Consider the following 19,786-nt stretch of genomic DNA (forward strand, 5'->3'; position numbering starts at 1 on the left):
AAAACAAAGAAACAAACGGGCAGAGTCCAGTAATCTGAAAAGGATAGAGCATTGGGAGGTCCTTTAATCCATGGTGGTATCTGAAACGAGGAGTCCCTGCTGCTGGGAGTAGAAATTAGCAGTCTTTCCTGGCTGTGGTTTGGCAATGAATTAAGATCCTTAACAATGGTCATAAGTTTTCTGAATGTATCTTAAGGAAATAAACCAGCAACAATGATTTCTACACAAGGTTTATAAAAGTGTTGTTTGTGATACTAAAAAGGTTACATACAACAAAAAAGATTAGAAAGATGTGTGCCAGAATGCCAACCATAATAACTTCTGTGATCAAACTGCTGTGATCCCAGCACTTTGGGTGGCCAAAGCGGATGGATCACTTGAGGTCAGGAGTTCGAGACCAGCCTGACCACCAGGGTGAAGCCCTGTCTCTACTAAAAACACAAAAATTAGCCGGGCATGGTGGTGGGCACCCGTAATCCCAGCTACTCGGGAGGGTAAGGCAGGAGAATCACTTGAACCTGGGAGGTAGAGGCTGCAATGAGCTGAGATCATGCTGCTGCACTCCAGCCTGGGTAACAGAGTGAGACTCTGTCTCAAAAAAAAAAAAAAAAAAGAAAAAGAAAAAGAAAAGAAAAACCACCTACTGGGTACTATGCTTATTACGTGGGTGATGAAATAATCTGTACACCAAACCCCCAGGTTGTACAATTTAGCTATATACGAAACCCATACATATACCCCATGAGTCTACAATAAAAGTTGGAAGGAAAAAAAAAAAAGAAATAATTGCTTTATTAGCCTTACATGATGGAATATTAGGGGGGCCTCATCTGACTTAAGCCGAAACTGTACTAATCATTTGGCAAAATCAGGAGTCTTTCTGCCTCCAAATATTCAGTAATAACATCAAACCTTAACTTAGCTATGGGTCGGAGCTGAGTTAATAAAATCCTCTATATTTCTTTTTTTTTTTTTTTTTGAGACGGAGTCTAGCTCTGTTGCCAGGCTGGAGTGCAGTGGCGCAATCTCGGCTCACTGCAACCTCCGCCTCCAGGGTTCAAGCGATTCTCCTGCCTCAGCCTACTAAATAGTTGGGATGACAGGCACGTGTCGCCACACCCAGCCAATTTTTGTATTTTTAGTGGAGATGGGGTTTCACCATGTTGGCCAGGATGGTCTCGATCTCCTGACCTTGTGATTCACCCACCTCGGCCTCCCAAAGTGCTGGGATTACAGGCGTGAGCCACCGCTCCCGGCCTCTTGCTTTTTATTTACCTCTTGCAGCTATGCTGTGATTCAGAGTCAGAAACTATCAACATCTGGTCTGTAAATAATTTCATATTCACCAGACACAGTCATAATTATCCAACACGTAGATTTCACATGGCATGTGAATCCCACTGAAAACTCATCTACCTGGGGAAGAACTAGGGGACTTTCACCAAAGACCTCATGGAAGTTCCAAGGTCGTTAGGCAGAGCCTTGTAAAGCATGGCTGTAGATGAGTAATAAAGACAGGTGTGTGCAACCTCTGCCCTCCCTATTCTTTGCCATTCCAAACCCTTTCCCTCGAAAAAGGTACATGTGATCTTCCATTTTGACTTTTTTATTTATTTATTTATTTATTTTAACAGATAGGGTCTCACTCTGTCACCCAGGCTACAGTACAGTGGTGCAATCATAGCACACTGCAGCCTCAAGCTCCTGGGCTCAAGTGATCCTCCCACCTTGGCCTCCCAAAGTGTTGAGATTACAGGAATGAACCACCATGCTCGGCCTCATTTTGAACATTTTAATTAGAAAGTTACAAAACATCATGGGTTCTTTATACAAGATTTGCATTAGAATAATTTAATAAAATGCAAACCAATGTTTATACGTATCTTGTCATCTTTCCATATCTCATTGCCTTATGTGAATTTAAACAAGAAACTATTTTTCGTTTAGATCTTAAGAAAAAAATTTAGGCATATAAAACAGCCTGAATATTAAAAAAAGACAAGGGGGTCAGTGTTAGGGAATTCCTCTGCTTGAATACTTCAAAATAGCTTTGTTTCCAAAACTGTTTTAGTAAGCCTAAAGGAGCACTAAAAACGACAACTGATCTCCAAAGTAAACTGAGGCACACACTGAGGGGTGTGTTTCTGGGTGGGCATGAAGCATGGATCACCGGGGCCATGTCCTTCCAGTGGCAATGACCTGCTTGGGATCAGGAAGCAGCTCCATGTGTTCTTGGAGGAGACTGCCCACATCCTCAGGAGGTGAATGGGCTGAACAAGCCATCTTCCGTGTGCAGAGGCCCCTTCCAGCCATCTCTGCTCCTGCAGACACTTGCTTAGCCACGAGGGTAATCCACTGGACTGCTTGGTATTCTGCTAGTGGCCAGGCTGGACTGGCCTGCCCAGGCCAGCATCCTCTTTACACTCTTACTGCTTCTTGTGTCCTTCCCAAAGCTGCCCGCCCCACTCTGATGGGCACCCTGTTCCTTAGTCAAGGGAAACGCCAGCCGCTGGGCTTCCCGCTAGCCTTCCAAATAAACTTGTGGTTGTCAGGCAGCGGGAGCCAATCCCAACACCAACCCCTGTCGCCCCTGTCCTTTGCAGGAAGGGGGAGGGCTGTCAAGGAGGAGGAGGGCCAAGTGCCCAGGCTGTTGGGTGAGGGCCAGAAAGAACCTGTTGTGACAATGCTTTCTTCCCCCAGTGCTGCTGAGGGGGCTGAGAATGAAACAGCCCCTCTGACTTCAGCCTGCCATCCAGGGGCACAGACAGAGGGAAAAATAGGGCAAAGAGCCCAGTCACAGTACGGCAAAGATCCAGGGCTGCTCAGCTGAGCTGATGACAGATGACTGACTGTTGGGCTGGGGCAGGTGGACGGTCCAAGTGTCCTTCAGCGGCCCTCCCTGATTGCCTGTGCTAATGCGGCCCTTGCCCTTGGGCCCTGCCCCTCCAGGTCTCCAGTTAAAGGCCTCAGCTCTGGAAATCAAAGCTGTGAATGGGAAATGGAGAAGCCCAGGGGTGCAAAGTGCTAGTGATTGGCATGTTTGTCACAAGAGAGCCCTGAAAAGAGTAAGAGTGGCTCACAACAGAAGGTAGAAATGCACAGTGTGTTCCTCAGTTCAACAGAGGAAAAGTCTCTGCTTGACCAGAGATGGGACTCTTTCCAAGATGTCTGAACTGACTGCAATTTTCTCCTGAAATTCAACGCTAAGGCAAAGAAGGAAAACCCAAAAAGCTAATTATAGCCTCCAGGAACTCTCAGACCTTTCCACAAACTAGTCCCTGACAATTCTGCAGGAGCTCTGAAGATACGGAACTGTGTAGAGCAAAACCGGAAAGAACCGTTGTCTCTGAGGGAAAAGCACACAAGCCCGCAGGTGTCCGCTGGGCTCTTTCAAAAGGTCCTAAGATGTTCCCAGAAGATGACAATGAGGCAGCCACGGTCCTGCTGAGTCTTCAGAAATGGCCTTTCTAGGATAAGTGCTCCTTACACAAGTCTCCCCGGGGCGTCACTGTCACAGGAATGGTGGTCACCACCTGATTCTGAAACACGAAGATCTTGATTCTTTCAAACACCCAGAGGAAGATAAGCAGGATGCTGACATACTGCACCCAGGCGAACTTTACCATCTCCCAGAATCCTGGCTGATAAGTATGGACAGTTAAGGAGTGAAGGGCCACATGGTGTTAAGTATGAAGAGAAAATCCAAGATGGAATTGGCTGTGGCAGAGGTATCTCGAAAGGAGGCAGGACCTCTGTCATGTACACACCCAGATGGAAGCTGACCTGAACTTGGCCAAATGGTAAAACCAGCCACATTTGATTTGAGCTATTTATATACCAAGCCTGATGACCAACCTCCTAAACAGACAACTATGCCAAACTAGATTGATCATGGACTAGAGATATCCTGAGCTGTTAACCAGCCATCCATCCATCTTCTAAAATCTTCCAGTTGTGTAAACTTGGAACACCCTTAGCCCCTGCCTAATTGCACCTGTACGGAACACAATTTAGCTGCTTCCTAGGTTTGTGTCTCTGGAATTGTAATTCCTAAGACCCCAGTTAAAATGCCTTCTCTTTTGTTTGCTTCTCTGCAGTGTTGGTGTTGGTTTCATTTTCCATTAGTCGACCTAAGTCAAAATTAAACCAAAGTTTAGGTCAGACAGGGACTGGCAAGAATGTTTCACATAACCTTAGCATAAAAGGGATATCATATGATTATTAAGACATAAATATGGATGATTCTTACCTAGAAGAATTGCTTGGAAACAAATAGGACCAAGACATGAATTATTTGTTCCTATATGAATAGCAGACATACAGTCATTTTCTGAGACATGTAGCCTAAGATGTCAAAGACGCAGCCATTTTTATGAGGCTATAACCCTGTCATGATTTCCAAGAGAAAACCTCCCACGTCTGTTACTACTTGAGACAACTAAGGAATCATTCCTCTTTGAAAACTGAGCTACCATTGATTTTTTTTAAATTGTTGTTTGCTTTAAGAGGCAGGGTCTCACTCTGTCACCGAGGCTGGAGTACAGTGGCACAATCATCGCTCACTGCAAGCTTGAATTCCTGGACTCAAGCAATCCTCCTGCCTCGGCATCCCAAGTAACTGGGACTACACATGTACGCCACTATGCCTGGCTAATTTTTTTTTTTTTTTTTTTGGTAGAGACAGGGACTCACTATCTTGGCCAGGCTGGTTGTGAACTCCTGGGTTCAAATGATCCTCCCACCTTGGCCTCCCAAAGTGCTGAAATTATAGGCAGGAGCCACCACATCCAGCCTTAACATGGACTCTTTAACAGAAAGGATATGAAATGACTTCCACAGGGTATCGGATGATAGCATTAATCACAAATGGAGCATCTGCGGCCCTGCCCACCAGCCAGATGGGGTTGGGATCATTCAGGACGGTGGTAACTGCAATGCAATCATTAACCATTAACCACGATGGCTGTTTGACTCTGGCAGTTGAAGGCTATAAAGATTATTTGATACCTGGAAATTATCCTGTGCTTCAGAACTGAAAGAAATCATTCGGAAGGAAAGAGAAATTGCATGTGCAAAGCTGATCACACATTATTTGTTAAAATAATAGTCAAAATACTTTTGTTAAAATACATAAAAAACTTGGAAAGAGTTTCTTCTACATGTGCTGAATGGCTAACTGAAGGAATACTATACTGCCACTAAAAGTAGTATCACAGCTTTGTAGCTGTGTGGGGAAGTATTTATATTCCAAGTTTAAATAAATAAAAGTAACTTGGATCCCAATGTGTTTCTACACTACAATGGCTGTATAAAAAGATCTGCAGAAGGCTAAAGAATGAAAGGAATGAAAAAATAGTTGATTTGTAGGGCAATGTTTTCTACTTTTGTTTTAAAATTCCCTCTATTATTGCAATAATGCCACTAGTATATGCCATAAAATCAGTAAGCAATACTGGATTTGCAGTCATCCCCCTTGTGAGACGTCTGTGTATAGTCTCCATGATGTCTGCTTGCCAAGTAACACTGTAGATGCTTTTAGAGAAAACCTCAGCCACCGACCAGACAAACGTGCCGAGTCCACACATGCCATGGCCTAGAGCTCTGTAAGGAATAAGCACACTGTGCCTTCTGGCAGGAAACAGGGGCACTCCTGTTCTCCTGCTGGACTGCTAATGTGGGGAGAGTCACCCACGTTCTCTGTTTTTCTCTGAAAAGCATGAACAGCAATTTGTCTTTGGCATCTGTTATAGGTGTGGATAGGTGTGGTATGGGGAACAACTCAATTAGGCTTATATTTTTTAAAAGAGAAACCCACTAAGCCAGTGGTGGGATAATGATGGCATTTAACCATCACTAGCCTGCTGGACCATGGGATGCTGGAGGGGTGGGGGCGGTCCCAGGTCTGAAGATCAGGACGAAAAAGACAAATCCTGGACAGCATATTTGCTCCCATCGTTGAGCATTCACGGGTTTTGACATTTTCATCACAAGGGTTCCAGTTCTGCTTGTCTCTGTTGCCCCCACTAACCTTGAAAGTCCTGAGCAGCGGCTGAATGGGCTCTACCTGTGACTCACCGTTCCTCTCCTGGTAGGCAGCAACAATATGGGTGAGGTCGTAGTCATAGGCAAAGGGGCTGGTCCCGTTGATCACGGATATCTGGGACACGGGAGGAGGATGTGGTGTGAGCACCTGGGAGACTCCTCCCCTTTTCCTTCTACCCTTCTGCCCACCCAGGCTGGTCCCACAGAGCACCCTCTTGTTCTTGGTGGCCTACTGCAGTATCAATAATCTTTTCTTCAAAGATGAATAAAACAGGCTGCTGCCCACCCAGGCTGGTCCCACAGAGCACCCTCTTGTTCTTGGTGGCCTACTGCAGTATCAATAATCTTCTCTTCAAAGATGAATAAACTCTCTTGCAACAATTTAAGCCCATTTACTCTCAGTCTTTCTTTCTGTGGATGGAAATAAGGGGTCAGTGTCCATGTTTTACAGGTTTTAAAGCTATTTTTAAAATACCCCTCTTTATCTCAGCGGGAGAAAGAATTCCTTAAATTATTTTAACAGACCGTATTTTCGCCAGGTGTGGTGGCTCATGCCTACAATCCCAGTGACTTGGGAGGCTGAGGCAGGAGGACCACTTGAGGCCATGAGTTCAAGGCCGTAGTCAATGATGATCATGCCACTCACTACACTCCAGTTTAGGAAACAGAGAAAGACTTCATCTCTCAAAAAAAAATAAAAATAAAAAAAAATAAAAAGCCAGGCATGGAAGCTCACGCCTCTAATCCCAACACTTTGGGAAGCCCAGGCAGATGGATCACTTGAGACCAGGAGTTCGAGACCAGTCTGGCCAACATGGTGAAACCCCATCTCTACTACAAAGAAAACAAAAATTAGCCAGGCGTGGTGGCATATGGCTGTAATCCCAGCTATTCAGGAGGCTGAAATCAGAGGATCTCTTAAGCCTGGGAGACAGAGGTTGCAGTGAGCCGAGATCATGCCACTCCACTGTAGCCTGGGTGACAGAGCAAGACTCTGTCTCAAAAATAAAAATAAAATACAAATAAAAACCCCTACACAAAGACAAAAAAAAGAAACCATACTTCCAACTCCTTTGTCATTTTCTTGGTCTTTTCTGGGTGCTAAGTTCTTTATCACTTTTAAATATAGAGATATAGATAAAATGCAAACCATAAGCATATAATCCCTTAAAGGAGGAAATAATTGCTTGCTGTTAATGTAATCTGATATATAGACATTCAAACAAAAAGTGCCATATTCATTTCATATGTTGCAGCTTCCTATTCTTTACAACTTATATTGATTATAGTCAGAGCAACAGTAAAACCCACTATATATCTACAAGTCTGGGTTTATGGCTGTAATAACCGATAACATCCCTTTTTCATTTTCAGAAGTACCTCAGCTCAACTTCTATGGTCCCCATTGTGATAAAATAAAAGTGAGGAATGAGTGATTAGATGCATGAGTTCTGCACACAGACAGGCTCTGTTATCTTTCAAGATTTGAGCCTTTGGGAAAATTAATCACTTTAAGCCCCAGTTACGTCTTCTGCAAAATGAGTTCATTATTTAAACAAGTATCTCTGTGAGCTTACCATCTGCCAGGCAGTGTGCTAGGCACGGATGTGATAGTATTTGAGATGCCACTGCTGTCAAGGCTGAGGGAGACAGCAAATAAACACACAAACACATATCCTGAGTAGGCCAGGCGGCAGGAGGGAGAGTCTGGCTGAGGAATGGTGGAAGGAGGGGCTGCTACTGTAGAAGCAGGTCAGAGAAGGACTGGGCTTGGGGATATCTGAACAGGGACCTGAATGGCATGGTCCGATAAGCCACATGGATGCCTGGCAGAGGAAATGGCAAAAGCAAAAGCCCTGAGGTGGCAGCTGCTTCTTGGGTTTGAGGAACAGCAAAAAGGCCAGGGGGGCTGGAAGGGAGCAAGCGGGGGCAGTGATGGGACAAGTGGCTGGAGTGCGGGGAAAGGACAATGCAGGCAGCTCAGAGGTTGCCATGATGATTAAAGGAGATGATATAGGTAAACGCCTGCACTCAGGGGTGGCATATGTTATGAGTTCAGTAAACTATGGCTAGTAATATTTCTGAAATACTTTACATGAACATTTTACATCATCATTTTACAGTGTCCTTCGGAGTACATCCTGCGTGTGACCAAGCGTGTGTATGGAAGACACAATGTGTGTGTGTGCACCCACGTGGACCTAAAAGCAATAAGCAATTTAGTTCTTCGACAAACACAGATTTTGTTTCTCTTCCCTTCTAGGTGTAACTATGCGTGTACCTTCTCTGTAGTTTGAAAAAATTCATGGCAAGAATTCTACAGAGACCCTCTTTGGTGCCACCCACAAAGAAATGATATTTCTACTTTTCTTTTCTTTTTCTTTTTTTTTTTTTTTTTTTTTTTTGAGACAGAGTCTTGCTCTGTTGCCCAGGCTGGAGTGCAGTGGCGAGATCTCAGCTCACTGTAACCTCCACCTCCTGGGTTCAAGCAATTCTCCTGCCTCAGTCTCCCAAGTAGCTAGGATTACAGGCACGCACCACACGCCTGGCTAATTTTTTGTATTTTTAGTAGAGACAGGGTTTCACCAGGTTGGCCAGACTGGTTTCAAACTCCGGACCTCAAGTGATCCATCCGCACATCTCCGCCTCCCAAAGTGCTGGGATTACAGGTATGAGCCACTGCGCCTGGCCTGACATTTCTACTTTTCATTCCCCTCTTTAAAGAACTTAATGAACAGTAACACAGAGAAACAAAGGAGCTGGACAATGAGAAGCGCTCTTACGTTGTATCGGGCATCTAGGCCACCACAGCTCAGCGGCTGCTTCTGCTGCAGCCTCAGGTCTCCGTTCACGTATAACTGGGATCCCGGGACAGGAAAGGAGGACTGGAGAAACGCCATGCTCTGCATCACGAGGGTCGCCATCCTCTGAAATCATTAGAAGGACCAACAATACCAACCGCCATCAGATCTGAAGGGCTCTGGGTGCTAAGAGTCACCTGTCTTGGCTGAAACCTAAGAGGCCCTCACATACCTAGCGTAGCCATGCAGGAAACACTGCCTAGAACCTTCTGAGCTATTAATAGCCCATGTCAGTTAATATGACTAGTGAAAACCATTCCATTGGCCTAAGTTAAATCCCAAACTACATGGGGAAGAGGGCCCGCTAGAGTGCGGGTCTTCTAGAAATCAGAAGAAGGACTCTGGTCTACTAAAAAGACACAAGGGAGAGGACAGCCTCCCAGCGGACTGACTCACGTGTAATCGATAGGAGAAAGTCAGGATGAGCTGCACACCGAGAACGTGCTCCGTGGACTGCAGGGGAAGCTCCAGCTTAAAATGTAACATGTCCGTCTTCCCATCCTGGTTCCTGTCTTCTTCTCTAGTCTAGGAAACCCAAACAGGCCCAGCAGCCCTGGTCACTAATGAGTCTGGGAGGAATCCACATCACTTCTGTAAATACACAATGACCCACTGTCTTGCTGTACACAACAGGCATTATCTCCTCCACTAAAAGAGAAAAGCAGATAGATGTAAGTGCATTAATACTGGGGAGAGACACAAAGTGCATGGTCCCTGAACTTCATATCTGGGCCTTTCAAATGTTCACTGGCCAAAATAAATGGGCAATAACAAAAAACATCTGGATAGTATTTGTGCCTTTCAGTTGTCTCATGTGATCTTGCTTATTTTGCACTGATATTTTTTTCTTTTTTACAAATATGCCTGAATTTGTATGGAAATTTTAAGTAGCATGTCAGAATAGTCTTCTATGTCTCTAGAAGTCAACTTGTTAAAATAGAAAAACACCTAATCCTAATCATTATGCATTCCTCCAACAAACTCAAACTCAACAGAAAATCACCAAGCTCTATTTTTTTTTGTTTTTTTTTGAGCCGGGGTCTAACTCTATCGCCCAGGCTGGAGTGCAGTGACGCAATCACGGCTCACTACAACCTCCGCCTCCCAGGGTCAAGGAATTGTCCTGCCTCAGCCTCCTGAGGAGCTGGGATTACAAGTGCCCACCACCATGCCCAGCTAATTTTTTTATTTTTAGTAGAGACTGGGTCTCACCATGTTGGCCAGGCTGATCTTGAACTCCTGACCTCGGGTGATCCGCCCACCTCAGGCTCCCAAAGTGCTAGGATTATAGGCGTGAGCCACCGCACCCGGCCTTACCAAACTCTGTTTATAGATTCTGAAACCACGAGTGTCTTTGCTTCAGATTCTTGATGTTGGATCTTATCTCATCATTCGTGTGAGGACCTGAAAGCCTTGTGCATCTTTTAGTAGCAATCAATGAAATGAAAAAGGAAGCTATGTCAAATCAGCAAAGTATTAAAACCATATCTATTTGATAAATTACGGGCATGAAAGGAAAGAAGACAGAGGTCTGTAGAGGAAAAAAGACAAAATACAGCTTATGAAGCATATGTAGGCAGTGAAAAAAAACTGGTATCCACTCCTACCATCCACAGTCTTGCCAAACAGTGATGCTAAAATGATGATCAGGAAAGCACGGTTACTGAAAAGTGATCACTGCTGACATGGTCCCTCTGCACAACTCTGGATCTTTTTGCTACAACTGATCCTTTCCCACTGTGGATTCCCAGAACAATTCTACTATCGTGTAGCAGCATTCCCATCTGGATCCACCATCTATGGATTCATTTTGATTCCCACCATTACTATTACGTAAGGAAGAGATTTTTTGTGTGTGTGCTTTTTCAGGCTAATAATAAGGTCATTTGAAATGAAGAAATCTCAATTTTCAGAAACTTTCAATTATTTCTTTCTTTCTAGACAATAATGTTCCTTCTCTTAGGTCTTGTTTTAGAGAAACCTCCCTCCCTTTTCTCTTGGATACTTCCTCTCTGCCCTGTTTCATCAGCTTCGGGGAGGGATATCTGCTACCAGGGCTGATGATCAAGTTACTGAGGCAATGATGGACTAGTCATTATAGGTAGGATGAAAAGAGCCTGCCTTGCGGATCATGAGGTCAGAAGATCGAGACCATCCTGGCCAACATGGTGAAACCCCGTCTCTACTAAAAATACAAAAATTAGCTGGGAGTGGTGGCACGTGCCTGTAATCCCAGCTACTCAGGAGGCTGAGGCAGGAGAATCGCTTGAACCAGGGAGTTGGAGGTTGCAGTGAGCCAAGATCTTGCCACTGCACTCCAGCCTGGTGACAGAGCGAGACTCCATCTCAAAAAAATAAAATAAAAAATAAATAAAAGAGCCTGCCTTGTCTCCTGTGGATTTTCTTCAATTGGGATCTGGGTAGAAAATCTTATGTAACTCTCTGTGATGGATCCACACCTTCTAGATCTTTAGGGTTGGACAGGAAGAAAAGAGCACATTTCTCAACTTGCAACAGAGGATAGTGGCCAGGAGACAACTGCCAGAAGAATCCAGACTCCAACACACTGTGGGAGGGGGAAAAGCTCATTTCCTTTGATCTTTACAATAAATGTAAAGCCCCAGGCAGGCAGAACAGGTATTTTCCCATTACACAGATGACAAAATCAAGGATGAGTGAGATTAGGGCATTTATCAGAGGTACAGCAAGTAATGGTGAAGACAGGATTTGAGATCAGGTGACTTCAAATCTGGTCCTCTTTTTAGGACCAAAATGTCTAAAATTATTTTAAAAATTCCAAATGAAGACAGCAGGTTGGACAAATCTTCCTGAAAAACAGCAGCACCAGGCATCTACGTCTGTATACTTGCCTGTGCACATCCTTCCATTCCAAGTTCGCGGGGGACAGATTTGGCACAACACCATCAATAGTGTCTACTTGTTAAATTCACTCATTGATCTGTTACGTACTTTTTGGAAACACGCCAGGCACTATTTCAAATAATGAGACTATAATGGTAAACAAAATAGACAAAGTCCCCATCCTAATGGGGCATACATTCCCGATGGACAATGTAGAAAACAGTGACAAGTGCCGCTGACAGAAATGAAGCAGGCTAAAATTAGAGAATAATGAAGGTAAAATTTAACAGAAATTGGCCAGGCGTGGTGGCTTATGCCTATAATCCCAGCACTTTGGGAGGCCCAGGTGGGTGGATTGCTTGGGCTCAGGAGTTCGAGAGCAGCCTGGGCAACATGGCGATACCCTGCCTCTATTAAAAATACAAAAATTAGCTAGGCATGGTGGCGTGCACCTGTAATCCCAGCTACTAGGGAGGCTGAGGCAGGAGAATCGCTTGAACCCAGAAGGTGGAGGTTGCAGTGAGCCGAGATCGTGCCTCTGCACTCCAGCCTGGTGACAGAGCAAGACTCTATCTCAAACAAACAACAAAAAAACCCAAAAAGAATTTAACAGAAATTTTTAAATATTCAGGATGACCCAACTTGTTGGAGTCCTGAAGGAAGTGAAGTGATGGGGTGCAGGAACATCTCAGAGAGGAGGGATCCAGGCTAATCAGGTACATGTGCTCTGGGTACCCGTGGGATCAATGCATCTGGCAGAGTGGGTGAGAAGGAGAGCAGGGTGGAGAGAGGGGGGAGAGAAGTTTCGATGGAAAGGATGTGTCTCCCACAAATGACCTGTCACCAAGCTGGACTCTCACCCTCCTGGGGCTGGCGAAGTTTGGCTGTGCTCCTCTGTTATCACTTGGACCACTGAATAAATCAATTATTTAATTCCATTTAGTTGAAAGTAAGTTTAACATATGTGCAATAGCTAACAAAGGCAGGCATTCAAAGGCTACTACTTCTTTAACACAAATTCTAGGTCGCTATCTAACCTCCAACTGGTACTTAGCCAAGAGAATTCACATATCACACCACCACCTTATATCTACAACGTATATACAGGCTTTGGAACAATTTTTATATCCATTCATTGTCCCACGTGATTCCTCTGCATATCCCAGGAGAGATGTGGGTACTCTCATGCCCTGTATATGGATAGATAAATTGAGGGTGAGGTTATGAAACCCAGTGACAGAATTGGGACTAGGACCTTGTGGGACAAGGATCTTGGTTTGCTGACTCCTGATTCAGGGCTCTTCTATAATAGCTCATAAGAACTCTAACTGAAAAGATTTCTCATGGTTAAAGGAGGATAACCCTTTAGAGATACACATGAAATCCACACGCATGTACTGAGCAGAGTCAGAGGGAATTTTTTTGTTTTTTTTTTGAGACGAAGTCTTACTCTGTTGCCCAGGCTGGAGTGCAGTGGCACAATCGCCACTCACCGCAACCTCCACCTCCCAGGTTCGAGTGATTCTCCTGCCTCAGCTTCCTGACTAGCTGGGATTACAGGTGTGCGCCACTACGCCCAGCTGATTTTTGCATTTTTAGTAGAGATGGGGTTTCACCGTGTTGGCCAGGCTATTCTCAAACTCCTGACCTTGGGTGATCTGCCCGCCTCAGCCTCCCAAAGTGCTGGGATTACAGGCATGAGCCACCGCACCTGGCCAGAGGGAATTTAACATAGGGAATAAATAGTCCCATAGGTATTAGAGGACTGAAGACGTAAAAAGGGGATATCCCAGCAACACAGAGATAGTAGCTGCAGGGAACATTTCCCACACCTAGGACTAGAGAAGAAGGGGAAGCGGGTGGGACTGATAGAACTTAGAGGTTCAGGGAAGAGGCCTCGAAGAGCTGAGCCTCAGACTTCAAGAAGGGACCGCGGCCCAGATGGGGCCAGGACCTCTGAGCTTGGAGGAAGCATGCACTAGAGGGAACCTTGAAGCCGGTAGGAGAGGCGTCCTGCTCCTTCCTGTTTGCTGGTTGTCCCTGTTTGTGGCATCCACAGTGGTTCTTCACCCTGGCAGTGGTGACTGGTTTCATTTCTTTTTTTCTGCACTCCCAGAACAAGGCTCATCATGCCTCCTACTGGCAGAACCTAACAGGAAGCTGCAGGGGAAGAAGGTGGTTTCCAGCATCTCAGCAGGAACCTGGAAGCTGAGCGTAGGAGGGTGGGTTTGGAGCTGAGACAATACCTCATAACCAGCACACCACCTGACTGCAGGAATTGCCAGAAATTCAAGTGCCATTGTTTCCAGAGTATCCTGATGTGTGACTTTTTTCCCCGTCAGGAATTCCCAGCATCTGACGGTTTGTTGGAATTTTGTTTGGTTTCTGTTTTGTTTGCGTACATTTCATTCATTTAAGTCGTATTCTTTTTTTTTTTTTTTTGAGATGCAGTCTGGCTCTGTTGCCCAGGTTGGAGTATGGGTGGTGCAATCTCAGCTCACTGCAATCTCCGCCTCCCGGGTTCAAGCAATTCTCGTGCCTCAGCCTCCCAAACAGCTGGGATTACAGGAACCTGCCATCACACCCGGCTAATTTTTGTGTTTTTAGTAGAGACGGGGTTTCACCATGTTGGCCAGGCTGGTCTAGAACTCCCTACCTCAGGTGATCCATCCGCCTCGGCCTCCCAAAGTGCTGGGATTACAGGCGTGAGCCACTGCGCCCGGCCCATATTCTTTTATTAAAGGTTAATTTCCTAGTTTATACCAGTGTCTATTTCACCATATACTTGTCATCACCGGGTGCTCCTTTCTTTTTAAGCTAAAAATACTCTTTGGCACCAGTTGTGGGTCTCTAGCAAAGCAGAAACTGCCACTTCGTGGTTCCTTTCCACCTTTCTACCTGTATTTCTTTTTTTTTCTATTTCTTTTTTTCTTGATACAGGGTCAAAAAAGGCTAGAGTGCAGTGGCACGATCACAGCTCATTGCAGCCTTGACCTCTCAGGCTCAAGTGATCCTCCCACCTCAGCCTCCTGAGTAGCTGGGACTATAGGCATTCACCACTACCCCTGGCTAATTTTTAAATTTTTTATAGTAGGGCCTCACTATGTTGCCTAGGCGGTCTGGAACTCCTGAGCTCAAGGGGCTAGCCTCCCAAAGTGCTGAGATTATAGGCATGAGCCACAGTGCTCAGCCTTGTATTTCAATCTAAGATACCATTACTTATAAAATGAACCATTATTTTATATACCACTGATAAAAGAAAAACATTTCCAATTAAACTATGACACTTTTCTAATCACTTACTTTTTAAAAAGTTACTAAAAGAGCTTTTAGATTTAGACATATTTACACAGATATGTTTATTTACTTAGAAAAATATAAGCAAAATAGGTCGGGGCAGTGGCTCACGCCTGTAATCCCAGCACTTTGGGAAGCCGAGGTGGGTGGATCACCTGAGGTCAGGAGTTCGAGACCAGCCTGACCAACATGATGAAATCCCGTCTCTACTAAAAATACAAAAATCAGCCGGCCGTGGTGGTGCCTGCCTGTAATCCCAGCTACTCATGAGGCTGAGGCAGGAGAATCGCTTGAACCCAGGAGGCGGAGGTTGCAGTGAGAAGAGATTGCGCCACTGCACTCCAGCCTGGGCAACAGAGTGAGACTTCATCTCAAAAAAAAAAAAGAAAAGAAAAGAAAGAAAAATATAGGCAAAATAAATTGATTCAGGGATTCCTAAAACTTCTTTACATCCTCATCCTTTTGAGTAACACTTTAACTCAGTCAACAACCCATACTTTTCTATGCAACTTTGTCCTTTGTGCCATCAAACATGTTGGTGATACAGCATTAAAAGAAAAACAAAAACAAAAAACAAAAATTCAGCTGGGCATGGTGGCTCATGCCTATAGTCCCAGCACTTTGGGAGGCCGAGGCAGGCAGATCACTTGAGCTCAGGAGTTCGAGACCAGCCTGGCCAACATGGTAAAACCTCATCTATACTAAAAATACAAAAATGAGCCAGGCGTAGTGGCAGGAGCCTGTAATCCAGCTCCTTCGGAGGCTGAGGCAGGAGAATCTCTTGAACCTGGGGGGCGGAGGCTGCAGTGAGCCAAGATTGCGCCACTGAACTCCAGTCTGGGTGACAGAGTGAGACCCTGTCTCAAAACAAACAAACAAACAAACAAACAATTCATAAAAGAAACTAAAAGCCATTGGTCTGGGCCCTTAAGCAGACTTTGAAATTATGGAGAGCTTTCCTGTTTTTAAAAGCCTCTCAAACTTTCCCTTACTTGCTCTCCATTCAATTCAGGGGTTAAAAAAATGTTCTACTACTGTCTCTGGGGTTTCCTCTGAGGTTGCTGATGCCCCTTCTTTTTAATTGCATTTTTATTTTTCTAACACCTACCTCTTACACAGAAATGATGCCCCTTCTGCATGTTTTGATGCCGGCACAGGTGTAAGCAATGAGAACTATGCCATACCTGCCTCCTTGCCAACAGTTGATAACCACAGACAGGAAGACACTGATTTCAGGGATGAGAAGAAACAGGTGTCTTAGAAACACGGTACTCTCCACTCATCCTCTGGAATCCTTCTATAACCTTCAGTCCCTGTATTCTCTGGGTCCACACATGCCTTCAAGAGCTATGTCAGCCTCCTTGAGGCTTGAGGGGGAAAAAGTCACTCTGCTTTTCTCTTCTCTCATTAAAAACAACAAAAACTAGACTTCCAAAGCATTAAACATGTAGGGAGCTTAGAGACGCTGTCCAGGATGAGCTGACCAAAGCAGAAGCAAGGCTGTTTGTGACTTCAGCATTTCCCCCAATTAGCCACTGCAAAGCCACCTCCCAGCACTTGGTCCAACCTTAATCAACAACCACTGTTTCCTTTGCCTTCTGGACAGTTTCCTGGATAGACTGACGTCAGTCTGGCTCTATGTTCAAAGTTAGAAAATAAAAGTAGTTTGTTGCAATAAGGGCTAAGATTTTAAGATATAGCATAAGAAATACTGAGTTCCAGTCCAGACTCTGTTCACTTCAAAGCAGTGGCTCACACCTGTAATCACACCTGTAATCCCAGCTCTTTGAAAGGCTGAGGTGAGTGTATTACCAGAGTTGAGGAGTTCTAGACCAGCCTGGCCAACATGGTGAAACCCTGTTTCCACTAAAAAACACAAAAAAGTTAGCCCGGAGTGGTGGTGCATGCCTGCAGTCCCAGCTACTTGGAAGGCTGAGGCGAGAGGATTGCTTGAACCCAGAAGGCAGAGGTTGCAGTGAGCTGAGATTGTGCCACTGCATTCCAGCCTGGCTGACAGAGTGAAACTCTGTTGCAAAAAAAAAAAAAAAAAAGAAAAGAAGAAAAGCTAGGGCAAATTGTACCACTTCTCTATTTCTTTTTAATTTTTTATTTTTTTGAAATGTGGGGTCTTGCTATGTTGCCCACACTGGCCTTGAACTCCTGGGCTCAAGCAATCCTCCTGCCTCAGCCTTCCAAAGTGCTAGGATTACAGGTGTGAGCTATCATTTCTGGCGGCAAATATTTTTATCTCATTTACCTGATCATTTAGAAATGTATCTCCAGGTCTTGAGATAACATTTGCATTGAAAATTCTCAGTTTCTCAGTTTTAGGCATTCTCTATTGAGTTCCCACAAGGAAAGATGATTTAGCTTCTTCTCTCCCCCAATTCCTCCCACCATCCCCTATCACATACCCAATACCTTTCTCATTACCCCCAATAGAGTTAAAATCTCTTTTTAGTAAACATTCAGTGTTCATATAATTAAGACTATGTCAATCCTATTCACAACTCTGATAACATTTTGGTTCTCAGTTTTCCTTACTTTTCATTTCCCTGCAGTTAATAATTATTTGCTTAGTTTTCTATGTACTTATACCATTTCATCAAAGAGCTGCTATTCCAATTCCTCAAAATTTGATGTTTAAAGGCATAAGATTTAGTCAAAACCTTGTTCATTGAAATATTGTCCCTAGGCCGGGCACAGTGGCTGACACCTATGATCCCAGCAGTTTGGGAGACCAAGGCGGGTGGATCACCTGAGGTCAGGAGTTCGAGACCAGCCTGGCCAACATAGTGAAACCCCTTCTCTACTAAAAATCCAAAAATTAGCCTGTAATCCCAGCTACTCGGGAGGCTAAGGCACGAGAATTGCTTGAACCCAGGAGGCAGAGTTGCAGTGAGCAGAGAATTGCAGCACTGCACTCCAGCCTGGGCAACAGAACAAGACTGTGTCTCAAAAAAAAAAAAAAAAAAGAAAAGAAAAGAAAAAAGAAAAGAAAAAAAGAAATGTTGTCCCTAATAGTGAAAAAGTCAAAGCAAACCTCAAAAAGAATACAGCTGATTAATAAGTATTGATACATATACAAAACTGAGCCTTCAATTTCTGTCATTATATCTACCTGTAACTCTATCATATTTTAGAATGAGCATGCACTTTTGTAATCAGAATATAAGAACATTTATAAAGTAATAGGAGAAAAGTAACCTGAATCATATTAGGTTGGTGCAAAAGTAATTCCGGTTTTTTGTCATTACTTTTAATGGCAAAAGCCGCAATGACTTTTGCATCAACCTATTACTATTTTTTTTGCAGTTATTTATACGACCAATCGGATTTTTAAAAACAATTTTATTTAGTTGCTGGGAACAAGTCTGATTTTCTTTTCTCCTCAGCTATACAAGGTTGGCTTGTAGGGCAATCATCTTAGATATGTCTGAAGAGATTCGAATTTGAAAGAAGGAAAACCAGAAGTTTCATACTTCTAAAGGAAAACGTTTTCAGAAAATGAGTGAAAAGGAGTGACTACAAAGGAAGCATTCGCTTATCTCAAAGCAAATACTAAATTACAGATTCCTCTCAGCGCTCTACTGGTGAAAAAATTTAAAAATAAATAAATAAATTACAGACAGTAACATGCTTCCATTTCATCCCGACAGCTTCAGGATGGCGCAGTCTCCAATGGGACAAACCCAGGGAGGCGTGACTCGGCCACAGCGCGTTCTGGGAAGGCCGCTTAACCAATCAGCGCCTTGGTTTCCAGGGGTCAGGTCTGCATAAAAATGCTGCCCTTTCCGTTCCTATAGTGGTGTGATGCAGAAACGCCGCGACAGAATGGGGTTATCTACATTAACAGCGCGCGGCCTTCCAGGCTCCTAAATGGACTTTCACAAACACCCTCCATCAGGCCAGGCCCGCGGGTGTGACCCGGGCAGACACAGGCTGCCCCCACACTTCTGGACTCTGTGTCAGGGCGCACACGCTGACAGCATGGCTAACTTTCTGGGGGCCGGGGACATCTGGGAGAAGCAGAATGAAACAGAAGATCGATTCCCTAGGTCCTAGGAGATGAAACGCCACCTTTGCGGGTTCGCGAGTCCTTAGGATCAAAGCTGGGCTCCCCAGGGCCGGGGCCGCTCGCCCCACATCCTCATTCCAGTCCCCATCCCCACCCTATCCCCGACTCTGCCCCAGGCCCAGGCGGGAACCACGCACCGAAACGAGCGGGACGCGCAGGCGATCCCCTTGCAGCCGGTTGAAGGCGGGGAACGTGCTCCAGGCGAGGAACCCGTCGCTTTCGGGTCCGAGCAGGGCCACGAGCAGCACCTGGTGTTGGAAGCGCACGGTCGGCTGCTCCTCGTAGCTGCTCCGCTTCAGCCAAAACCCTGAGTTAAAGAGGGCGGTAGGGAGGCGGTTAGGGAGGCCGGCCCTGGCCGAGCGCGCCCGGGGAGCCTCGTGGCACAGCGGCCGGGGCAGGCTCACCGTGGCTCCGGAAGGCCACCAGCAGCGGCGGGATGTACGTGAGCGCAGCGGCCAGCAGCAGGAACAGCGCGGCTTTGGAGCAGAGCCCCGCGCGGTAACTGCGCTCGACCGGGTGAGAGAAGAGCTCATAGAGCGCCATGAGCACCGCTCGCAGGCACTCCGCGAGCCGGGGGACCAAGTTTGGCTTCTCCTGGTTGCCATCGCCTCGGTCTCCACGGCAACCGACGGCTCACAGAAAGGAG

The 19,786-nt window shown here is 45.2% G+C and overlaps 1 protein-coding gene across 3 annotated transcripts, besides 3 other annotated features; it reads right to left on the bottom strand.

Moving 5' to 3' along the window:
- TMEM231 (transmembrane protein 231) lies at positions 215–19,760 on the bottom strand. Of its 3 annotated transcripts, none has more exons than NR_074083.2 (7): positions 19,545–19,726; positions 19,278–19,447; positions 9,300–9,551; positions 8,826–8,969; positions 6,076–6,157; positions 4,824–4,929; positions 215–3,648 (listed from the first exon to the last, which is right to left on the bottom strand). NR_074083.2 is itself a non-coding variant. In NM_001077418.3 (7 exons), the coding sequence occupies exons 1-7, from the start codon at positions 19,681–19,683 to the stop codon at positions 3,468–3,470; spliced, it is 951 nt and encodes a 316-aa protein (NP_001070886.1). In that variant the 5' UTR covers positions 19,684–19,726; the 3' UTR covers positions 215–3,467. The 3 variants fall into 3 exon arrangements, 2 of the variants coding, with proteins under 2 accessions (NP_001070886.1, NP_001070884.2); NM_001077418.3 differs by having other exon boundaries at positions 9,300–9,428; NM_001077416.2 differs by having other exon boundaries at positions 1,591–3,648; positions 9,300–9,428; positions 19,278–19,760.
- Positions 13,653–13,722: an enhancer, noted in NCBI's record as "active region_11135". NCBI's record gives its function as "activates an Ori minimal core promoter by ATAC-STARR-seq in GM12878 lymphoblastoid cells {active_cell/tissue: GM12878}" and the evidence as "EXISTENCE:reporter gene assay evidence [ECO:0000049][PMID:35858748]".
- Positions 13,763–13,822: an enhancer, noted in NCBI's record as "active region_11136". NCBI's record gives its function as "activates an Ori minimal core promoter by ATAC-STARR-seq in GM12878 lymphoblastoid cells {active_cell/tissue: GM12878}" and the evidence as "EXISTENCE:reporter gene assay evidence [ECO:0000049][PMID:35858748]".
- Positions 19,417–19,496: a silencer, noted in NCBI's record as "silent region_7724". NCBI's record gives its function as "represses an Ori minimal core promoter by ATAC-STARR-seq in GM12878 lymphoblastoid cells {active_cell/tissue: GM12878}" and the evidence as "EXISTENCE:reporter gene assay evidence [ECO:0000049][PMID:35858748]".

The sequence above is a fragment of the Homo sapiens genome, chromosome 16 (genome assembly GCF_000001405.40).
Source record: "Homo sapiens chromosome 16, GRCh38.p14 Primary Assembly".
NCBI classification, from domain to species: domain Eukaryota; kingdom Metazoa; phylum Chordata; class Mammalia; order Primates; family Hominidae; genus Homo; species Homo sapiens.